The sequence below is a fragment of the Homo sapiens genome, chromosome 8 (assembly GCF_000001405.40).
Source record: "Homo sapiens chromosome 8, GRCh38.p14 Primary Assembly".
In the NCBI taxonomy this organism is placed as follows: Eukaryota; Metazoa; Chordata; class Mammalia; order Primates; family Hominidae; genus Homo; species Homo sapiens.
The window spans coordinates 55,166,828-55,190,151 of NC_000008.11; the positions used below are offsets into that span (position 1 = coordinate 55,166,828).

The window sequence follows — 23,324 nt, forward strand, 5'->3', positions numbered from 1 at the left end:
GTACCATCTGGTGGACTAGAGCACAGATTATCTTTTGCTTTGAATGATATATGAAGCCATTGGAGACTTTTGAGCAGATTCATGATCAGATTTAGATTTTAAAAGGCTCATTTGGGCTAAGTGTTGAGAACAGACTTCAAGAAGGTGAGACATTTAAAGCTTTCAAGGGAGAGAGGATGGAAACTTAGACTAGGATGGAAGGGGCAAAAGTGGTGGAAGGTGACCTAATTCTGGATATATTCTGAAGGTAGTAGCATCAGCAGATTTCTTACTGGACTGGATGTGGGAAGTGGAAGGAAGACAGTTGAATTGGGATGATGCCATGGCTTGAGCAAATGGCAGAATTGAGTAGTTACTTAATGTGAAGGGGAAGACTCTGGAAAGGATGAGTTTTTTGGAGAGGTATATTATAAGTTCTGTACTTGGGTATACTAAGACTGAGATGTTTGTCACACTTCTTTCATGAGATTCAGCGAAGCTGTGTGTCCTGGCCTCCTTGCAGTGAGTCTGGGTTTGTGACTGAGCTCTAGCCAATAAAAAGTGAGCACAAGTATTATGTGTCACATCCAGGCTCAGCTGTGAAGACCTCATGAGTATGATGCTCCAAGCTCTTTCCCCATCCTTAGAGGATTGCTGAAAGGAGAAGGCAGAACCGTAGGACGAAAAGAACCCAGGACCCCAAATAACCAGGTGCAAAGCCACCTGCCAACAAGGAATGATTGCGATAGACTTCGGAAGCAAGACATGAATTTTTGTTGCATATGACCACTGAGATTCAGTAGTTTATCTGCATATAACCACTGAGATTCAGTAGTTTATCTGAGACAGAAATTAGTGTTGCACTAACTAGTACAGTGTCCAGATTGGACATATACTTTTGGGAGTCACCAACTAACAGATGAGTGTTAGAGTCATACAAATGGATGTAATCCCCAAGGTAATGAACACTGATTGAAAAGAAAAGAGGTGCAATGATTGAGCTTGGGGGACTCCAACATTTAGAGACCAAAGAGATGGGGCTGAACCAGCATAGAAGCCAGAGGAGTGGCCAGGGAAGTAGGGCAACCAGGCAAGTGTGATATCCAGAAAACCACTTAAAGCAAGAATTTCAAGGAGTAACCAACTGTAAAATGAAGCTGATGGGTCAAATCAGGTAATAAATTGGTCATTTCATTATGAGAAATATAGGTACTTTTGGGAGATGATTTTATGGTAGAATAAAATACAACCATGAAAATTGGGAAACTCTTAGATTCTTTAAAAATAATAATCATTGTTTAAGAAGAGAATCGTACAGAAAGTCTGTTGTTCTAAATGATAGTCCAGTGAAATATTTATCATTCACTCTCTGAATCTGGAACTCTTCTATTGGCCAAACATTCCCTTTTTCTTCATTTCTGGACAAGTGGGACCCTGAGTAGAAGAGCTGTTTCCATTTCCCTTGCTGTTTTTGGTTTGTGTGTGGTGGTGTTTTTCATCAAAAACGTAGAGGACAGAATGGATGTTTTAAGTTGGGGAGCAGGAGATGAGTGAATCCAATATCATCTGTCAAATCCTTCATCCTGTTTTGTTTCATTCTAAAGTACATGAGAGGCTGAAGGATTATTACCTTATAATAATTTTAAAATGCATCCTATGTTCCCACTTCTGTGCACTTTTCTCTGTTCCTGTGCTTTGAGTATCGGGTAAGTCACTCTGGAAATGTCACTCGCATTAAAATGAATGGTTTTGATCCTCACCTTGGAAAGAACAGATGTCTACTTCCCCTGCCTCATTTCATCTGTTTGCTTTAGTTTTTCACTCTCTTGTTGTTTTTAATTCTGAAGCCTATCCAATGTATCTTCTTCTATCAAAACTGTGGTAAAAATTCTATCAGCTCATCCTTATACTTTTAGAGATGTTTCAAATCTCCTGCTCAGCTTCTCCTTGCTGGTCAGACTCTCTCCCTTCATTATGAGCAAGAAATGCCGGGACTGTCTGCCTTTATGTTACAAATGCAGGTATGGTAATTCACTCCAAGTGTATATGCTGAATATTCTGAATCTACCAGCTTGTCTGTGTCCTGTTAACTGATTAACCAGTCATGTGGAATAGTCCTAGCAAACTGCAGGCCTATGAAAAATCCACTTCACATTTGATAGATCACGTCTTGATGAACATTTCAGAAATTGATAGGTTTATTTGTTTCAAATCATGTTCTTTTAAAAATACTTTCTGGTCCAATTTTTATCTTTCTAGACATGTTGCATACTAAATTCTGAAAGGGTAAGCAATCAGGTTTTTAACACGTGCCCTTTAAAATATTGACATGATTCAATACTTTCATATTTCGTATTCAATTGTTCTTAGCCATTTGCAAGTGTCTTCATATGTAGTTTGAAACATTAGAAAACTTGTCTATCTTATTTCCCTTACCTCTGTGCTGGGTGGCTCGTAGTTCTTTAAGCCTTTCTGCCAGTGGTGGTTTCTAACTAGACTGTTGCCACTGAACGCTGCAGGGAGGAAGGTGGGAAGGGCAGGTAAAATGGCAGTAATGCCCATCCGTGGTTTCATCCCTTTTCAAAGATTGAATCTGAACAGTAAATGCCAAACCCAATATGAAAGTCATCAGTTTAGAGTTACAGAAGGGTATCGACTCAATGTTTTCTCCAGGTCCTGTGTGTTTTTACCTCTCACTTCCAACATAATGCCAGGTGGGCAAGGACCCAGCATCTTATCCTGGATTATGTAGGGGTACCAGGTTGGCCCTTCCACAAAACCATCATGACAGCATGGACACCTGGATCAGGACAGTCCTTTCTCTCTTGTTGTCAGAAACACAGTAGTGTGCAAAAAGATTTCATTTTTTCCCCACGTTCCATCTAACTGTATTTTATTATTTCAAAGAAAGTGGTATTAAACTCTTTCGTTAATTAAATCAAAATTGAAAGTTGTAAAGCCACAGTGGAACTATCTCCTATTCAGAATTTAAGTGTACAACTTTGAATAAGGATATTTGTATAGATAAGAAATCCCAACTAGAAAGGAGTCATCGTGTGCAAGGAATTCCTACTCTGCTCCTAAACAGCATTGATTCTTGTAAGAATAACCAGAATTTGCTAACACTTCTTGAGCCTAGTTTAACTTTTATTAATCTGCCATTTTATAATGTTGCATATATCTTGAGTTATTAAAATAACTTAGTTATTTCATAGTTCAACAAAACAGGCAATAGTTCTCCTTCCTGCTTCAAATTTGTATTCATATTCATATTCTTTATGTACTTCAACCAAAAGTTCACAGCATGTTCTAAACATACCACTTTTGGATTATGCATGATGAGCTAGTCAAGTTTGTAAGAGAGTGTGATGGGCAGAATAACGGGCCCCCCAAATATATTCGTATCCTAATGCCTGGAACCTGTGAACACGTTAGCTTATAAAGCAAAGGGGACTCCATGATGCAGATGAAAATAAGGTTGTGAATCAACTGACTTTCGATCAGGGAGATTATCCTGGATTATGTAGGGGTGTGTTGTCATCATAATAGTCCTAAAAGTGCAAGAGGGAGGCAGGAATGGGGAGTCACAGGCATGCTGTGGAGATGGAGGTATGGGGACATGAGCCAAGGAATGTGGTGGCCCCAGGCAGCAGGCAAGGACAAGAAGACAGATTCTCCCCAGAGCCTGCAGAAGGAACATAGACCCGCTGCTTGATTTTAGCCCAGTGAGACCTGTGTCTGAGAACTGACCTACAGAGCTGTAAGCAAAGTAAATTGTAGGGCTTTAAGTCCCTAAATTTGTGGTAGCTTGTTACAGCACCAATAAGAAATTAATGCAGATATGCATGAGACATATGTATTCATCACCTTCTCTGATTATTGATTACACCCATTTTAACCTGGCAGGCATAACGACTGTCATGATGGGCTTGACTGAAACATTTCAGTCAGCAAACCAAAGATGGATCACTTAGGCCCCACAGTTTGAGTTTCTGGGATAAAGTTTTCCTCTGACTTTCCGGACACGGGCGGGAGCTTGGAACTTGGCAAGGGGTGAGCTGCACGGCTCCTAGTCTGCCCGTCCAACCTCAGAAGGTCAAAGTCTCTCCCCCTCCCTTCTTCTTTAACATGGAACTTTCTGCTTCCTGTCAGTATTATCTGATAATTTCCTGCCAACTCCCCTGTGGTATTTTTGGTATCAGATTATTACATACCTTCTGGAAATTAATATTTCCTGGGAATAGCCAATATACTTACTTCCTAGATTTATATTGCTTTCTACAGATAAGAGCAGAAAATGGGTCAAAATACTTACACATACACACTGTACCGTGAAGAAGAGCTCAGGAAATAGTGAAGATGATTTTCAGTACCTACAATCGAGAAAATAAAAATACATTTCTGAGTAATTAAGAAATATTTGTGAGGTGTTAATGCTGACATTGTATTTAATGGTGAGGCGTTTGATAGAAAATGTGTCCTTACCATCATCTGTTACAGCGTCTGGTGGGAGACACAATGGAGAGAAGGGAAGAGATGAGGCTTGGGGACAGGCAAGCTGGTGCTTGAACCCCACATCTAGCACTCAGCCATAGACTTTTGGAAAGCTTCTCACCAGCTCAGGGCCTCTGTGGGCTCACCTACAACATGGATATGGCAGGTCTTCATACGTCTCCGTGTCATTTTACCTGGTGACCAGCTTAGGTCTCCCTGGCCTTTATTTTGAGCCTTATACCTCTGGAGAGTTGCCTAATGGGACTTGGTTCCTCGTCTGTATGTTCTTAGCACCTAAAACACATTTCCAAGATGAATCCCTTCACCCTTCCTCCCACAAGTTGTCTTTTGCTTTGTTTTCCCTATCTCTGTTGGGCAGCCTGCCAACACTGACAGCCTACACTGTCAGCCACAGACCCAGGCATTGCCCTGCATTTTTCCTCCCCTTCGCCTGACAGCCTGGTCATAAGCCAAGTTTATGTCGCCTTCCAGTATCCCCGAGCTACATTCCCTGTTCTCCATCTGTGCCTCCCGAGTCCAGATCCCCATCGTCCATCACCTGCACTATGGCCACTGCTTCCCGGCTGTCCTTCTTGCCCCACTGCCAGGCTTTGCAATCCATTCCTCCAGAGGGGTCTTTCTGATAGACGTGTTCTATCATTAAAATTCTTCCCTGGCCGAGGCAGGCAGATCACTTAAGGTCAGGAGTTTGAGACCAGCCTGGCCAACATGGTGAAACCTCATCTCTACTAAAAATACAAAAATTAGCTGGGCGTGGTGCCGCATTCCTGTAATCCTAGCTACTCACAAGGCTGAGGCATGAGAATCACTTGAACCCAGGTTGTCGGGGGTGGCTGCAGTGAGCCAAGATCATGCCACTGCACTGGTCGACAGAGCAAGACTCTCTCTCAAAAAAAAAAAAAAGTCCCCGTTTTCCTTCACTTACAGGATATAGGCCTTAGGAAGCTACTCACCTTTTCTCTGCCTCAGTTTCCTCATCTCTGAAATGGAGATCATCATGCTTTATTTTTAAGTAGGTAATATATCTCATGGTACAAAAATCCATCCAGTGTGAAAAATTTTGCACCTACTCTTGCCCCACCCATCCAATTGCTCCCCTGCTCCAAATTGGTAAAAAATGTTATATTTTCTTCTACATCCTTTCAAAATTAATAAAATATATGCATATACACACCCATATGCATATAAATACATATATACAATTTTCTAAAATTCCCCCTTTCCTATAGTATAAAACAAAGACAGAGTGAAAAGCATTTAGAAAAAGAAGCAAACTTGTGCCTAAGTATAAGGTGGATAGCCAAATTGAAAACAGCACAGGTATTTAAAAAACACATGTATGACATTACCAAATTTATCAGGTTTACAGTCTGTCTGTTCATACAGACAAAAAAGAAATGTTCTTGCATGATTATCATAGCCACAAAGACCATGACACATTTTCAGATGTCTGCAATGGAAAATCTGGGAGTAAAATGGCTTTTGTTAGGGTATCAGTGATTTACGGGAAATGCTCAAGGTTTCATTTATCTTGGGAATGAGAGCTAGACGTATGACCCCTTGAGTTTCTATTGGTTGGTTGATCTGGTTTCGTTTCAGTGTTCCATGTGATAGTGTTTTCTTTTCCTCTGACTGTAGAACATGCTTGCTCATCATGGTAGCAGGGAAAAATGTCAGTGTTGCTTGCACACAAATTTTGTAGCTGGAGTGAGTATTGTTGTTATTTGTGTTATAGGAAATGCTCACTTCTTAACCTCTTTTGTCCTGGAGCATAGAATTACTGCAAATGCTCACCCCTGGGAGCTGTCCTGCCCCCGATCTCCCACACAAACACTCAGCTGATAGGCAGACACATTAGCACTTAAGAGTCCCCTTGGCAGGCCCCCTTTCCAGCATTGTGCTGACAATTGGATGGGTACTGCACGCACACTAAAGTCCGCTCCCAGCATGGCACAGGGGCTCCCATCAACACTTTTTTTTTTTTAATTATTGTTGGTATGACCTTATTCCTTCCTACTTCTTTAACCTACTTTCCAAATACTCCCCTTCCTCCATTGTCTTGCACTTCATGCAACATCAATACAAAAATATATATAGTTTATTTTAAAAATGTTTCTTTAGCATTCTGTTTCTGAAAGAACGTATAGCTTTAGAACACATGATACTGTTTCATGCTTTACACCTTTGATTGTGTTGTCCTCTATTCTCCACCCTTCCTCCAACACCTTTTCTGGTCTCCTTATGGAGGAGCTGATTTTTATTCTGACAGTGTTTTCCTCATCTCTGAAACCCCACTGCCTAGCACAGTGCCAGGCACATTGTGAAAAAAGTGTTGAACTCACATAGGTCAATTACAAGGCTAGACACAATAGCCTTTCCCAAGTATACTTGGCTTGTCGGCAGTACCACCAATTAAGAATGCAAATGCTGTCCTACACTGCATTTCTTACTTATCTCCAGCATCAAAGGAATTTGAACAATTTGGCTGGTGGGCACAAGGGAAGGTTATGCCTCACTGTATATATAATCATTTACACACTTAGTGCTCTCAAAAATGTGTCATTCTTTCACAACTCAAATTTTGCATGAAGTATTTATAAAAGATAAAGAAATTGACATATTTTAAGAAAATATTGCAAGAATTACGGATGTGAGCATTTGAAGCATCATTATACATTAAAAATCCATAAAGTTTTCAGAGATACTGCTATTTTGGTGTAGCATCAAATCATTGTTCTAATAAGGAACACTTTTGAACTATGAAATATTATTGGTATCTAGAGTTCGGTGCAGATAATACAATTAAAATGTTTTTATATGATCATTTAAAAAAAAAGAATGCAAATGCTTAGTTTAATGACAAGTTTCCTGTTTCATGGCAGACTTTTTTTTTAAACAATGGGAACACTGAAAAAATATCTTCTAAATTTCTCGCATAAATCCATCATCCTAAGATGTCAAGAGATCTGGCTTTTGTAGGTCAGTTTCTATTTAGAGTAAAAGCAGTTGTTTAAATGGACCTTGACTCCACCTAAAAGAAGAGTATAGCTGTTTTTTCTGCATCCTGCATTGCACATCTCACAAAGAACTAAAGGATGTTGCTTGGACTAGAGGAAAAGGATGGGGACTACATCTTCTGTATTTTGGAGCATCCGGGGCTTCACAAAGTGCTTGTCATAAGGCATTTAACAGTGCTTGATGAATATCTAATTGAACATTTCTATTATAAAAAAAAAATACAGCAACCACCTGGTGATGTTAGGTTAATTCCTACTACCCTTCGTCCATAGCTGAATGGCTCTTTGTTGTAATGTGTTGGATGGTACGTAGGTAAAGATGGGAAGGCCTGGGGCTTTGACTTTTTTCAGTCCTACTTTTTGGGTGGTTGAAGTAGTAACTGTCACTAGTCTCTCCCAGTTGACAGGATAATCCTGCACCACTTAGAGACAATTCAGGGATGGTTTGTCATTCAAGAGGCTTAAGGTGGGACTGATTCGGTGGCACCAGAAACATCTCATGGAGCAGCGTGTGTCACAGCATGACTGTCTCAGCCAACGATCCCATATCATGGCCTGTTTGTCTCAGGTTGCTCTCTAGGATCTCATTAGGGATCTCAAGTTCCTCTCCAGATGAGAAGACAATCAAAGGAGATGTGATGGAGGTCAGCTACCACTGAAAGAAAGGAATTCCACTGGTAGATTTCAGAATTTTACACATGTACACACACTATAATGTTAAATGGTATAATTCAAAATAAGACCTCATAAGATGCTGTTGCATTTGGCTCAGAGTACACCCAAAGACAGCATTTTGAAACTTATCATCATTCACGTGAGATTTGTCAGGAAACTCAGGGAATATTGTGCCACTGTGAATAAGTAGAGATTTAGAACCAAAGTTTCACCTAATGGCTAAAGAGGTTTCAAAGATATTTTAATGAGAAGCTTAGGTTTTGTAACTGAAAGATTCAACAGAAATTGGCTTTGACAGAAAGCAGTTTTATATTCAATATTCTGGTTGCTATGGAGTCCATTTGGGCAGATTATGAGTAATATAAGAATAATATAAACTTCAGCTTCCAAAGACCTGATGCCCTGGTTAAGAGATGCAGTCACTTGACAAGTGAATGTTGACTAAATTTTTAAATGCCCAGTTTTATAATTGAATATTCCTGCTGAAATAATCAAGATTTATGCTTGGTCATTCAGTGACTGAAGAAACCTTATTTAGGCACTTTACTACATGTCTAGAATTATGTCAAATGTTAGTTCCACAAAGAATTGCATCCATTCAGAGTCTGAGCTTTCTTAATGGCTAGGCCAGTGTCATGGAAATAGAGGCACCAAAAAACATGAGCACCGTCAGAATAAAAATAAAATGCACTAAGCTTGATTATGCTCTATTTTAGGTTTTGTCTGTAAAGAAGTGATCTGCTTTTGTGTTATTTATAGAGAAGACCATATCAGTGTGTAATAATACTTAAAATAAATAGTAAATAAATAAAATAATCATGTATCCACTATGTGAGTGGTGCATAAAGTTCTAGGGAAAGTGCACATTTAGATGTTTGGGATGTAAGACCCATCAGACTAGTTATTGTTGTTAGAAGAAATATGTTAAGTCATATAATGGTCAGTTTGCACTCTATAGAATGAAAATATTAATATCCATAAAAATATGACACTTTTTTCTCTATTTGGCAGATAGAGAGTTGAGGCTGTCTTCTAAAGCTTGAGATAAACACACATCCTCTTTCTAGGTTACCTACTGAAATAAATCATAGATACGCAGGTGACCTGTGACAAAGTGCAGATCTATATTGTCAGAATGAAAGAACAATTTGTGCACAATCACTAATATTTATATCTGGCATGTGGAACTTACATTGCATCATTTTTCAAGGTGTTGAGAAGTATGTATTCTATAAATGCAGCATCCAGGGTTGGGGCTGAGCACTGCGACATGGATTAGATCCACTTGTCACTGAAAGAGTTCACTGTGGGGTTCGCTCTGCTAGCCTTGCACCCTGTGCACGGTCCCCAGCCGCTGCCTCCAGAGACATGTTGAAAGGTAGAGTGCTCCACTCCATTGTGCACATCCTACTCACATGGCTGGGCACTGGGGTGTGAGTGTGTGTGCGTGTGTGTGTGTGTGCATATGTAGGAAAACTTTCCAGTTAAATCTTAATGTCCGGTCTTTGGAACACAGAATAAAGTCGCTCTTTCTAAAAGCAATTCATTTTATTTATAGTAGGCACCAGACACGCACAAGACATTGTTACTCTAGACCTTCATAAATGTCCAGTTTCTCAAATGTGGACAGGGTTCTGACTTCGACCTTATTTCTGTTGAGAATCATGTGTTTCTTGTTCAGATTCCTCATGGTACACCTTGGTATACTTTTTACATCTATTAAAATTTCTCCCACAAAATAGCTAATTTTTTTCTCATACATAAATAATGAACTAATGATTGCATGAGAATCATGTGCCCAGGATGATGGTGATAGGGTGAGCTGTGGAAGTGTTGATCAGTTATCTTACTCCGTGGCTCATTCGCTTTTACACACCAATATCTATCTCCAGCAAATGACCACGAGGCAAATTTGTGCGCAGCCAAATCACAAAAGTACCCCATATAATTTGCCTAGTAATTTTCAGATAAACACAAGCAGAAGTGTTAAATCCATAAATGTGAGTGGTCTACCCTTCTTCTTCTTCTTTTTTTTTTTTTCCAGACAGAGTCTTGCTCTGTTACCCAGGCTGGAGTGTAGTGGCACGATCTAAGCTCACTGCAACCTCCGCCTCCCAGGTTCAAGCAATTCTCCCACCTCAGCTTCCCAAGTAGCTGGGATTACAGGTGTGTGCCACCATACCTGGCTAACTTTTGTATTTTTAGTAGAAACAGGGTTTCACCATGTTGGCCAGGCTGGTCTCAAACTCCTGACCTCAGGCCATCTGCCCACCTCGGCCTCCCAAAGTGCTGGGATTACAGGCGTGAGCCACCATGCCTGACCACTTCTTAACTATAAGACAATTTGACTCTAGGGACTCCTAATAACACAGTTAAGTACTGGGCTCCCACCCAGGGGACATCTCAGGCACAGCTGAGTTTTGGGGAAGAATCTGAGTGTAGCAGCACATAAGAATATCAGGAAGAGGATTGTGTGCCCACCTTTTAATCTCTTCATAGGGCTGACCCATGCACAGTTCTCCTGTGGGCTTTGAAAGTTTGTTCCCCAACTTGAGTTAGCTGTGTGTGTCACAGAGTGAGCAGGCCTGTGAGCCCTGGCAGACATACTCCTGCTGGGAGGAAACATGTTCTCTTTGTCATTCCTCGTAGGCAGCCTTCACTAACACCAACTAGGGAGATGTCATTGTTCTGAAGTTATAAATGTCACATTGCTTCTTTCCCAGAGGATTTGATTTTATAGCATGGCTATTGTGGACTTTGAGATGGTTCCAATTTGTTTGGCATTTGTCATGGTTGTTCTTCATCTCCTGAAAGCTATTTTTTTTTAAAGTGTGATGTCCTTACTTTCCCTGCTCAACTCCAGTCCCCTTTCCTCAAATGCCACTGGCCAGAGCTGTGTAGGCAGCCAAGGATCAATGTCCTGCCAGGACCAGCCTTGACTCACTTAAGGACACCTCAGTGCCCTGTGGAGGTGCTCCAAAATTTATATTATTAAGGATTGAAACAAACCCCTTTAATAATGGTGATTTCTCAGGAGAGAAGCCACTGTCAGCAATTTCTGCATTGCCCTCTGGTTTTTCCAAGGTCGCTCACATTCTTGTGCTTGTGTGCATACAAATGGACAAAGCGATAAGAAGCATTAGAAGCCTTCTAGGAAAATTGCTACAAAGCAGAGAATGTTATTCCTTACACTTAATTGTAGAAGTGGACAGTCATATAGTTTAATCCTCTCATTGTCTTGGTGAAGTAATCGCTGAGATACATTAAATAACCTAGTTGAGTGAGCTTTGAAGACCAGCTATACCAGCTATTGTGTGATCTTGGGCTGACAGCTTAAACTGTGCCAGACTCTCCCCGTCTGTAAAATGAAAATGGTGATATCACCTAATTCACTGAGCTGTTATGAAGGTTAAAAGGGTTACTGAACGTCAAACGTTCAGTACAATGCCTATCATATTTTAAAAAGTGTTTTCTATAATAACTATTATTACTAAAACAGATCTCCTGACCCCACCCAGCAGAGGGCTTCTTCTATCATTCTATCATGTGTTCTCCTGGCAAAATAAAACCAAAACCTGTCTTTGTACTGTGGTGGAAGAGAGACCCCTGAGCTGACCATCAGAACTAGACCCCATGGTTTCTAGTCCTAGCTCGACACTAACTAGTTGTGTGACCTCAGAAAATTAACCCAACTTCTTTTGACCTCCATTTCCTCATTTGCAACATAAAAACCAGAGTTGGAAAAACCTTTTGGAACTCTTCCATCTCTAACAGTTCTGGTCTGCATAGACAAAAATGGCCCCGCTTATACGTCCTATCTTGCTTCCTACTGTTGGTTGTCACCATGGCCCCAACTACCTTGGTGTTCCCCAAAGAATAATCCAAGACACTCCTCTCAGTAGCAGAGAATTCAGAATGTTTACTTTTTGGCATCTTGTTGGTGGGGTATGGCATAGTTAAGTGGATTTATCTGAGGACTAGGGAAATATGAATGATAGTGAGAACCTGTTCTTTGTGTTCCCAGAAAAAATTAGACAAGAGGAAGAGGGCTTAAATATGGCAGGAGGAGCTAGACATCATGAAATCAGAGATTGATTGGTATGGAGTCATAAAATATCAAAGTTTACTAGTAGAAAAAAATCCTGACAATAAAAACTGAATTGAATTACCAAACAATATTTGGAATATCTACCTTAGAAACTTTAAAATAAAGCAGGCTAATTTTTCTGAGATGGTTTAACTACAACTCTGTCCAATGACAGGAGCATGACAACATTCCACCTATTCATTCACTCACTCATCCTGCATTGAGTGAGTGACTGCTGTATGCCAGTGCCGACATGCAAGACTTCTCAAAATTTCTTTCAGTTCTAACGTTCTCAGGTTTTAGCAAGAGGGGTATTGTTTTGCCCCAAAACAGGCCATCTCTCACATTTTCAGACTGGTATCCATTTGTGGCTTTTGTGCTGGGCCGTTGATCATTAGAAAGTAATCTGTAGCCTGAAAATGATTGATTTTTAAATAGCCGAAGTGTATTAATCAGCTTTTTGTACAGATTGAAGGAGTATGTTTCAGCTTTGCATCCTTATCTGTAAATGCCAAAAGCACAACTAGCTTGAGGTAGAGTATTTATTCTCTATGTTCTCGCTGAGAAATTGTCTAAGTCGATTTTTGTTGCCTAGATAATAATACAGCTTTACTTTGGTTTCTTGGAGTGCAGCAATAGTACAGAATGGATTATAAGAAACAGTGCACTGTGACTGGCATAATGGAATATTGTCAGAAGACTATCAGTTTTACCCTTTTTTATTTATCTTCTGTGTTATTCCCACTAATATCACATTATAATAAAATTACATATTTGAATATAATCATATTTTCTTTTCAATGAAAGCTGGAAAATTTAGAGAAGTATTTATAGAAGAGTTTCTTCCTCTAGCAGAACCTAGAATAACAAGCTCTCCTAGAAGACCTTAATTATACTCATTCTTTTTGTGCAGTGACATTTAAACACAATGTTATTATAATTATATGCATAATAAGCTATATCTTGATGTCAACACATGGATTATAAACCCTTCTATTTGAATTAAATACTGGTTCAAATTAACTAAATCATCTTAGGTTAGATAGTTGAAAAGATTCATGAGTCGGAGGTAGTTTATAATGACCATCAATAGCAGCACACATTTCAGCATTTGTTGACCATTAATCAGTCAGGGATTATCTGTAAAGGCACAGCTGCATGGAGTGGTGTGTGAATATACCTTTACATGAATGAGCATAAATTGGATGGATATGCAGCTGCTGTATCCAAGTCTTCGTCAAGGAAAATGAATATGCAATGTTGATAGCTCTAATGAATTTTATTTTAGAGAGGTAAAACACCAACTTTATTTGAGAGATAACTCATTCCCTATGTATCTTCTCTGCTAATATAGCTCAGGGGTGTCAGTGTGGCGAAAGGAACTTGGGAGACATTTTTCTAGCGTCACCAGGTATATTCATACAAAAATACGTATTCTTTTTTTTTCTTTGAGACGAAGTCTCACTCTGTCACCCAGGCTGGAGTGCAATGGTGCGATCTTGGTTCACTGCAACCTCCGCCTCCTGGTTCAAATGATTCTCCTGCCTCAGCCTCCCGAGCAGCTGGGATTACAGGCACCCGCCACCACACTTGGCTAATTTTTTGTATTTTTAGTAGAGACGGGGTTTCACCATGTTAGCCAGGCTGGCCTTGAACTCCTGACCTCGAGTGTTCCACCCGCCTTGGCCTCCCAAAGTGCTGGGATTACAGGTATAAGCCACCGCACCTGGCCCCAAAATAGGTATTTTTTAAAAATTATTTCTTTCTCACTAGGCTTTCTTGTCTAACAAAAGAGATTCACTTTTCTCTCAAATACGGAGGAGTTACTTGACACAGATCACAACAGACTTGCTAATGAGTAGTATGAATGAATGATGCCAATGATGGTATCAATGCAAATTGATTGAGGAATCCATTGAATTAAAACATTAAAGTTAGACTTAAAGTCCTATTGGCAGATCTTCTATGAATAGATCCAAGCTCCTACTATGTCTCGAGAGTAAATTTGCAATTACAAGAAAATGAACCAAGTCTTATTTAGGACACCTACTCTGGTTTCTGATGTTGTTTTGGTACTTAAGCTTAAATGTCAAATAAGCATCTAGATTCTCCAGCTCATCCTTTGTGAGAATTAATTGGTTGGGTCTAATATCATCGTTTCTTTCTCTGTGTGTGTCTCATTCTGACCCTAACAACAGTGTCATCTCCTTGCATCCCACAGGTGTTCTCTATGTGTCACTCTGATAACTATTCCACAAACTTTTCTACATCCTCCCCTCATATCTCTACATTTTACACTCCTCCCTTCTCTCTTTTCTCCTCAGCCCCTTCCCTTCTTTACTGTCCTCCTTCCTTTCATCCTTCCAGAAACATGTATTATTTTTATTGAAATATCTTAGCCAAGCTGAGGGACCACTACGGATATGCAGTAGGCATTTGATAGACATTCGTGGAGCAGGTAAGTGAATAATTTGTATGCATTTTAGAAGGGTCATGTGGACAGCAGCATGAAGGTTGAGGCAGTAATCCTATTAGAAGCCTGCTGCATCCCTGCAGGCAGGAGATGATGACAGTGACTTTGGGGATAGAGGAAAGGAAAAAGGTGAAAGAAGAGGAAGTCAGCTGGTAGAATGAAGAGGACTTCGAGGTTGACTTCATGAAGGTCAGCTGTAAAATACAGCTATGGAGCACCGAGAAGATAAGCATTTTTGTGCTGGGAAATTTAAGACCAATCAGCTTAAAAATCTTCTCCCATGTGAATCCTTTTTGAACTCCCTCAGACTGAATTAATTGCTCCCTTATCTTGATTTCCATAATGCTATATGTTATTAAAATATTTGTTTTTGTTGATTTTCAGCATCTAAAAGTTATGATCTCCCAAAGGCCAAGGCTGTACCTGACTCTGTGTTGTTCCCTCCTCATGTATTCCATGACTTACTTGCTATCCATTATTCTTTTTTGAAGTGTCTACTCAGATCTTTTGCTATCTTTTATCAAATTTTTCGTTTTCTTATTGTTCTAGTTTAAAAATTCATTATGAATTTTGAAAGTTAGTTGTTTTTTTTTAATTGAATATGTGGCTTATAAATGTTACCTTCCAGCCTGTGGCTTGCCTTCTCATTCCCATAACATTCTCTTTCACAGAGGAAAAGTTTTAAATTTTGGTAAAGTCCAGTTTATCAATTTTTTTCTTTTATGGATCACACTTTGGGTGCATTTCTTTTATGGATTACACTTTGGTGCATTTCTTTTATGGATCACACTTGGTGCATTTGCAAAAATAAAGATAATACAGATTTTTCTACTATATTTTCTTCTAAAAGTTTCATAGTTTTATGTTTTAGATTTAGTCTATAATCTTTATTGTTAGTGTTTGTACATGAGGTGAGGTAAGTGTCAAGGTTTATGTTTTTACATTTGGATGTCTAGGGTTTCTTTTTGTTGAAAAGGCTTCCATTTCTTAATTGAATTGCTACTTTACCTTTGTCAAAAATTGATTGACTATATTTGTGCACATCTATTTTTGGGATCTCTGTTCTGTTTTACAGCTCTATGTGTCTATGGCTTTACCAATACCACATAGTTTTGATTACTGTAGATTAATAGTATGTTATAAAATTGTGTAATATGAATCTTTCAACTTTGTTATTTTGAAATATTGGCTTGACTATGCTAGACCTTTTGCCTTTCATATAAAGTTTACAATCAACTTAACATATACAAAAAATTATCCTGAGATTTGATTGGAATTGTGTAGATCTGTAGATGAGTTTGGGAAAAATTGAGGTCCTAATTATATCTCCCTAATTGTGTCTCCCAATCCATGAACATGGTATCTCTCTCCATTTATTTGTCTTAAAACGTTTGTAATGAGCATTTTGGTAGTTTATGTCTTTCAGGAATTGATTGATTTTATCTGCATTGTCAAATTTATGAGGAGAGAATTGTTCCTAGTATCCCATTATTATCCTTTTAATGTCTATGGGGTTAATATTGATTTTCTTTTTTTATCCCCAAGATTAGTAATTTCTGATTAGAGTTTATCAATTTTATTGATCTAAGAATCAGCTTTAGCTTCATAGATTTAAAAATACATATCTTTCTATTTTCAATTTCATTGATTTCTGCTCTAATATGTATTATTGCCTTTCTTCTGCTTGCTTTGGATTGGAATTGATCTTTTTTCCTCTGGTTTCCTATGGTAAAAGCTTAGGTTAATGGTTCAAGACTTTTCTTCTTTTGAAAATGTAATCATCAATGCTACTTTTCTCTTATCACTTTTCTCTAATGCTGCTTTAGCTGTGCCCATAAATTTTTATGATGTATGTTCATTGTTCATTTTCATTCAATTCAAAATATTTTAAAGTTTATTTTGACACTTCCTCATTGATCCATGGGTTATTTACAAGTATACTGCTTAATTTTCAAATTCTTAGGAATTTTTCTTATATCTCTCTGTTACTGATTTAGAGTTTAATCCCATTATGACCTGAGAACATGCTTTGTATGATTTCTATTATTTTAAATGTGTCAAGATTTGTTTTATGCCACAGGATGTGGTTTATTAGGGTGAATGGTCCCAGTGCACTTGAGAATGTCTATTCTGCTGCTATTGGGTGGAATGAGCCATAAAGGTCAGTTAGATCAAATTGGCAGTTAGTGTTGTTCAAATCATCTATATCCTTACTTATTCTCTGCCTACTTACTGTATTAATTACTGGGAGAGGAGTGTTGAAGTCTCTTAAGTACAGCTGGGATTTGCCTATTTCTCTTTTCAGTCCTATTAGTGTTCTCTTTATGTAATTTGAATCTCTATTAGGTGTGTACACATTGAGGATGGCTACCTTTCCCCTCCCCCTGCCAGCTCCATCAAGGATGCTTTCTCAGGATTCTTATCAAACTTTCCCGAATGCCTAATAGGGTTCATGGAGAGAAAGCTGACCAGAGTGTGAACACGTTTATTCTGCATCTACAGGGCTTCTCCCTTTTTGATAGCCCATATTTAGCCTATAGCAATATATTAAAAAAAAATTTAGCTGAATCTTCTTAACAGCTTACATGGAGTGTTTGCAATGCTGGGTTTTGTTGGTCCCTGTAGATACCTTTCTGACCCCAGATGCATCTTGGTTGGTTGCTGTCCATCCTTAGTGTTCTCATGGGATTAAGAAAAGTTGTTAATATACTGTTTATTTACCCTTTTCCTTATTGTAAGGGTGGGAGTGATACTTTCAACATCTCTAAGCTGAAACTAGATGTCTCGCAGATAATTTTGAGATTTGAAAATCTCTGTGTTTTTCTTGTTGCCACCATATTACTCAGCGCAACTTGTGCTTTTTGCCCTTTTGCTTCTCTTGTTGTAGGAATCAGAGTCCCCTGAAGCCCTTTGCTGGGAGAATTTTACTTACATCTTTCTGGACATTACCAAGCCTTGACTTTTCACAATGGAAGTTGTGTATTTTTCTGCTGTTTTCTTTCATGTGTATCTGCTCTGTGTGTCTGCACAATTACATTGGCTCTTCTTTGGAAACAAACTTCGTATACATCTCTGTGCCACGCTGGGTTTCACTGTTAAGTACGTGTTAAATAAGGGTGGTGATGATCTCAGTGATAATTTTGGTAAACATTAGTCACCTTTACAACCTCCAAAAAATTACTTCTCCAATGTCAACCTTAACTCTTATGTCTTCTAATCAGGATGTCTGTTGTGTTTAGGTAATATAAATTATTATTCTCGGGTGTAGATCTATTTTTTTCTTTTTTAAGGCTAAATAATTATTAGTCACAGCATAGTAATATGCAACCAAAGGGTTATTTAATTCCCAAAAGTTATGAATATCAATATCTTAATATTCAATAGTGAACATGCCCAACAATGAATGCCAATCATTAATTACAGTTCGTCTAACCTTATACCATTTGAGGTTCAGTTTAAAATTATTAAATAAAAAATGCACACAGCCAAACAATAGTTTCTGCACATAAACTGATCTGAGCCATTGTATTTTTAAGCAGTAACACAAAGTAAATTTATTTTTTAATAGCTTGGTTTGATGAAAAGGGATCAGAGAAATATGGCAATTCTGTTTTTATTGCTTGAGGCAATCTCATTTGCAAAATCATTTCAAATCAAAGTTCATCTATCACTATGTAAACGACATGGAATAATTTTTTCAGTATTGATATGTTTCAGTTGAGAAATCCCACTTCAACCACTGGCATTGAGGCAATAATTCCTGTTGAAAGGTCACCTTCTCATGCTTTATTTCTTCTTAACTTCTTTACACTACTGATGTGCATGTATTCCTTTTCAATAAACTATTTTTCTTATCAGCTGGATTTTCTGATGGACAGAAACAGAAAATAACCATAATTTGAACGCTCTTTTAATAATTGAGAGACAATCCAGGAGCTAATAAAAGGCCTTCTTGCTAGCATACCTGTTAATATAATATTTAGACTAATAGTAATGAAACAAGCTTGAACTTTTTATGAAAAGCAGTTGTAAATATTCAAGTATTATTTGGAATTCTGGAACATTTGGGCTCCAGGGCTTGCCATCACTTTCTATAGCTAGGTAAAAGGTACCTGTTTTAAATACTTAGTTCTGGGAAGAGAACTATGTGCCTCATGGCTCTAGCTGAAATTGCAGATTATTCACTCATTAATGGACAGTGGGAATTTCTCAGAAGAGAGTATAAGAGAGTTTGATTCCACCTAGATTGCCTAGTTGGCCCTCAACTACCCTACCACTTTTGATCATTCTGGGGACTTCATGCAGTCAAATTATTGTTAATTTCATGTGACCCTCTTAGACTCAAAAAAGGCCAGTGGTGTTGTTGATATACCAAAACCTAAAATTGATCATAAAAAATCATTTGTAATTGCCAAACTATATTTTGGGGAAAGAAAATACTTCATATTTACATTGAAATAAGGGTCATTCTAAGGTTTTAGACATTCAAAGTCTAAAACAGTGTGGTACAGGCAAGCTGCAAACACAGTCATTCAGTTTTCCCACCCTTCTGGCTGCAAACCAATTCATCTCCCAGAATAATGTGAAAGATCAACAAGTTTGACCCTCGTATCAAAACTGCTAATTTGTATTTTTCCTAAAGGGCAGAGAAATAATAGTTTAGATTTAAAAGGTCTTCTCTTCTGATTCTTGCACATACATAGGCCCCATTTATTTTAACAAAATGCTTAATTAAGCCAAAAAGATGACCATATCAGTAAAAATTTGAAAACAATATTTGCCTTTAAAAATTCAAATAGAGGCCGGGCGCTGTGGCTCATGCCTGTAATTGCAGCACTTTGGGAGGCCAAGGAGGGCGGATCACGAGGTCAGGAGATCGAGACCATCCTGGCTAACATGGTGAAACCCCGTCTCTACTAAAAATAAAAAAAAAATAGCCGGGCATGGTGGCAGGCGCTTGTAGCCCCAGCTACTCAGGAGGCTGAGGCAAGAGAATGGCATGAACCCAGGAGGCAGAGTTTGCAGTGAGCCGAGACGGTGCCACTGCACTCCAGCCTGGGGGACAGAGTGAGACTCCGTCTCAAAAATAAATAAATAAATAAATAATTAAAAAATTCAAATAGAGATGAACCCCTGACATAATCAACTGTGTATTCTTTTATATAGAATATATACTTTTTTTTCCACACTCAGATGTGCTTAATAATATATCCTGTTTTTCTTGAAGGAAAATATGATCCCCCAGATTAAGTAATAATAGTAATGAAATAAAAGATTGTTATATTTGTAATCAGTAATTATGCAATCACCAAATAAGTGGCTGGTATCTAGGGAACAAGCAATTATATGAGCTATGATTACTAAAGAAGTAATTATGATGGAAGATAAACCTCTCTTAGTTGCGCTATTTTTTTTTTCTGAAGACTGGCATTTACATAATGGTTCCTAATCCACAGAGAATATTTGTTTAGGTCTGAGAGAATGTGTATCTGTCATGCACAGTTTAGTACAGGAACCCTTGCCTTTCACAGCCTTGACATTCTCAATTTCAGCTCTTCATTAGTGGTTTGAAGGACAGTGGCTTCCTGTAACTTTTCTATGGCATGAATTTGAATCACTTGCTGTAGTGTTTCTGCGGGGGAATCTAGACTGCCAGGCACCACACTCCAGTGTTACTCAGGTCCGACATGTAGAGTCTCTTCTCTAGTGGGAAAATCTCTGTTTCCAGGACCAAAAAAAAAAAAAAAAAAAAGAAGAAGAATACCTGCTATTGATAGTGACACAATTAAGGAAATATAGTGAACACATAGATACACTAAAAAGTGGGGAGAATTATAGACTGAAGTTGTTGTAATGAATTTGGAAATTCTTAAGATTCTGAGATCATGATGTCGTAATTAGGAAGGGGCTTTAATGAACTTGGTTGACAGGTGAGTCAAGTCGACCAGTGTCCCCTTCTCAGGAATCTGACCATCAAGACTTGGTTTTAACTGGCACAATGTGACATAAGAACTTTACTTTAGAAATAATAGCACTTAAAAAATTATATTTGGCAAAAATACCTTCATTTCAGGTTATTGTTATTGTTTTCTATTTGTCTCTGTTTGGGGATGTTTTATGTTTTCTTAGCTCATTGGTAATTCTATGTGTTTATTCATGCTGCACATATAGAGAATAAGAGCTATGGTAGGCAGAGAAATTGAGATAAGACAAGATCACCAATCGCTGAAAACATATGATAGATCAAAAGTTGCAAGCAGGTCTCATGAAACATGTCCAGGAGTTAATTTATTTTTTGTAAGCAATTTCTTGCATTTAAAGTGACGATTAATTATATAAACCATTTCTTTTGCAAACATTTAAAGATTGAGTTTTCTCTATGTACTTGGAAATTTAAGTGCTTTTTTTCAGAATGTGCATCCTTTTTTGCCTTTTCCAATGAAGACAAAAATCAAAATAACTTTTGCCTAGTGCCGGTATCATTTTTTAACCTGTTAAAGTAATGCTGTTAATTCTGTTTTATAATATAAGACATATTTTTAAGTAGACACTTGGGTTTGAATTCATAGGAACTTAGAGGAGTATATAGTTGAGTTACAACTAGAATTAAATCTATGAAACACCTCTTGCAACTAATCTTTTAAAGTTGTTTAGTAGTGTTTCATGAGTAATAGTCATGTTTATTGTCTTACTCTTCTAAGTCTTAACCATGAAATGAAGTCGATTTGATTTATTCTTAATTTTCCTTTATAATGGTGGGAATTGAATTTACCAAATTCAGAGTAATTACTTATTTCTCCTAAAAAGACAAAACAACCTCTCAACTTTGAGGTCTTATAATAATCCACAATTTGTCCAAAGTAATCCTTAGTCATTAAAAGAAGCCAAATAGTAAGAATAAGACCTCAAGTTGAGACTATACCCTCTTCCAAGACAGTCGTTCAACAGCTCCTGTCTCGTGCATCCTCTTAAGTTTAAAGACAGGAACGTTTTCTGAAGTGTCTCCTTTGAAAACAGAAACCTGAATTCCTGATATTAACCAAGTAAGTTGATACCTATACAAGAGTAAAGTGAAATACTCAAGAGTTTTTGGGTCTAGGGTCAAACTGCTAGGGTTTAAATTCCTGTTCCAGCACTTTCAAGATGGGTGACAAAATCATGAAGATGCTTAGTAATTGTGTGAGTTGGGCATGTTACTTAACCCTGCTAAGCCTCAGTTCCCCCATCTATAAAATGGCAATAATAATCAAAATACCTACTAATAGAGTTGTTGGGAGGATAAGCAAGATAATGCAAGTTAAAGTCCTTAATACAGAATCTATCCATAACAAGTGTTCAGTTAAAGTCGGTTATTATTATTTATTCAGCTGGAAGATATGGAATGCCTGCTCTGTGGTAGGTGATAGGATTCACAAATCTCTTCTGTCATCTAGATCGGGAACTAGAATCTAAACACACAAGTGTAATTTGAGGTCCAAGCTGAGATAAACAGGATTGGAGTCTTGAACTTCTCTCTCTGCCCTACTACATCCTGGGCTCCTAAGTTGAAGAGTTAATTGTGATTTCGATAGGTTTAGGGTGCCTGTTAAATTTATTTTCATTTATTTCCATTTTTTTTCCTGAGGATAAGCATACCTTGTTATATAGTAAAAGAGCCTAGCATACTCTGAAAAAGGTAGAACTTTGCCTGTCAGCTGACAATCTTTTTAAAACTTCCTTTCAAAGATGTAGTTCTGAAACTTCTTAAGAAACGTCTGCCGAGGCACAGCTAATGTATGAGTACGATCATGCCTCAATGAACGGCGGGGATACATTCTGAGAAATGCATCGGTAAGCGGTTTCATCACTGGGAATGTCACAGAGTGCACTTTCACAAACCTGGATGGTAGCACCTCCTACACGCCTAGGCTATGTGATAGAACCTGTTGCTCCTAGGCTACAAACCTGTATCATGTGTTATTGTACTGAATACTGTAGGCAGTTGTAACGCTGTGGTACTTGAGCATCTAAACATAGAAAAGGTAATATGTTGTGCTATAACATCACAATGGCTAGACTGTCACTAGGTGACAGGAATTTTTTAGCTTCCACTATAATCTTATGGGACCACTATGGTAAGTGAGGTCTGCTGTTGACCAAAACATCGTTATGCTGCACATTACTGTATTTGTATTTGTCAGCACTTTTGTTTCCTGTTCTTTATAAAGTCTCCTTTCTGCCACCATTTGTTCTATGCTGAGTTGGTATCAGTGTGAATCTCATATTAGGAAAAGGAGAGGGAATTAGAAAGAGGTGTTCACATAGCCTAAAAACTCACACGACAGGCACTTCTGTCACATTTCAACTAAGCCATATGCTTTATTCCTTAAAGAACTTTGGTTCTGTTAGTCAGAAAGGTATTCCTGAATTGAAATAAAAATTCTGAATCACCAACTCACTTGCCCGGAGACAAACCTACCGGGAGTATATTGCTAGACTGAATCCACCTGAAACATTGGCTTTAATCTGCGTGTGTGTTTAAACCATTTTGAGATGACTTTTTACTGGAGCATGTCTATGAATGGAGCCTGTGAAGGTT

The 23,324-nt window shown here is 38.2% G+C and overlaps 1 protein-coding gene across 1 annotated transcript in view, besides 1 other annotated feature; it reads left to right on the forward strand.

The window, feature by feature from the left end:
- The window catches only part of XKR4 (XK related 4), a 440,027-nt gene that overhangs the window by 64,800 nt on the left and 351,903 nt on the right, over window positions 1-23,324 (forward strand). The window lies entirely within an intron of this gene.
- Window positions 3,491-3,676: a silencer, noted in NCBI's record as "fragment chr8:56082878-56083063 (GRCh37/hg19 assembly coordinates)". NCBI's record gives its function as "represses an EF-1alpha promoter that drives an FKBP-Casp9 reporter gene in an ReSE screen in K562 erythroleukemia cells {active_cell/tissue: K562}" and the evidence as "EXISTENCE:reporter gene assay evidence [ECO:0000049][PMID:32094911]".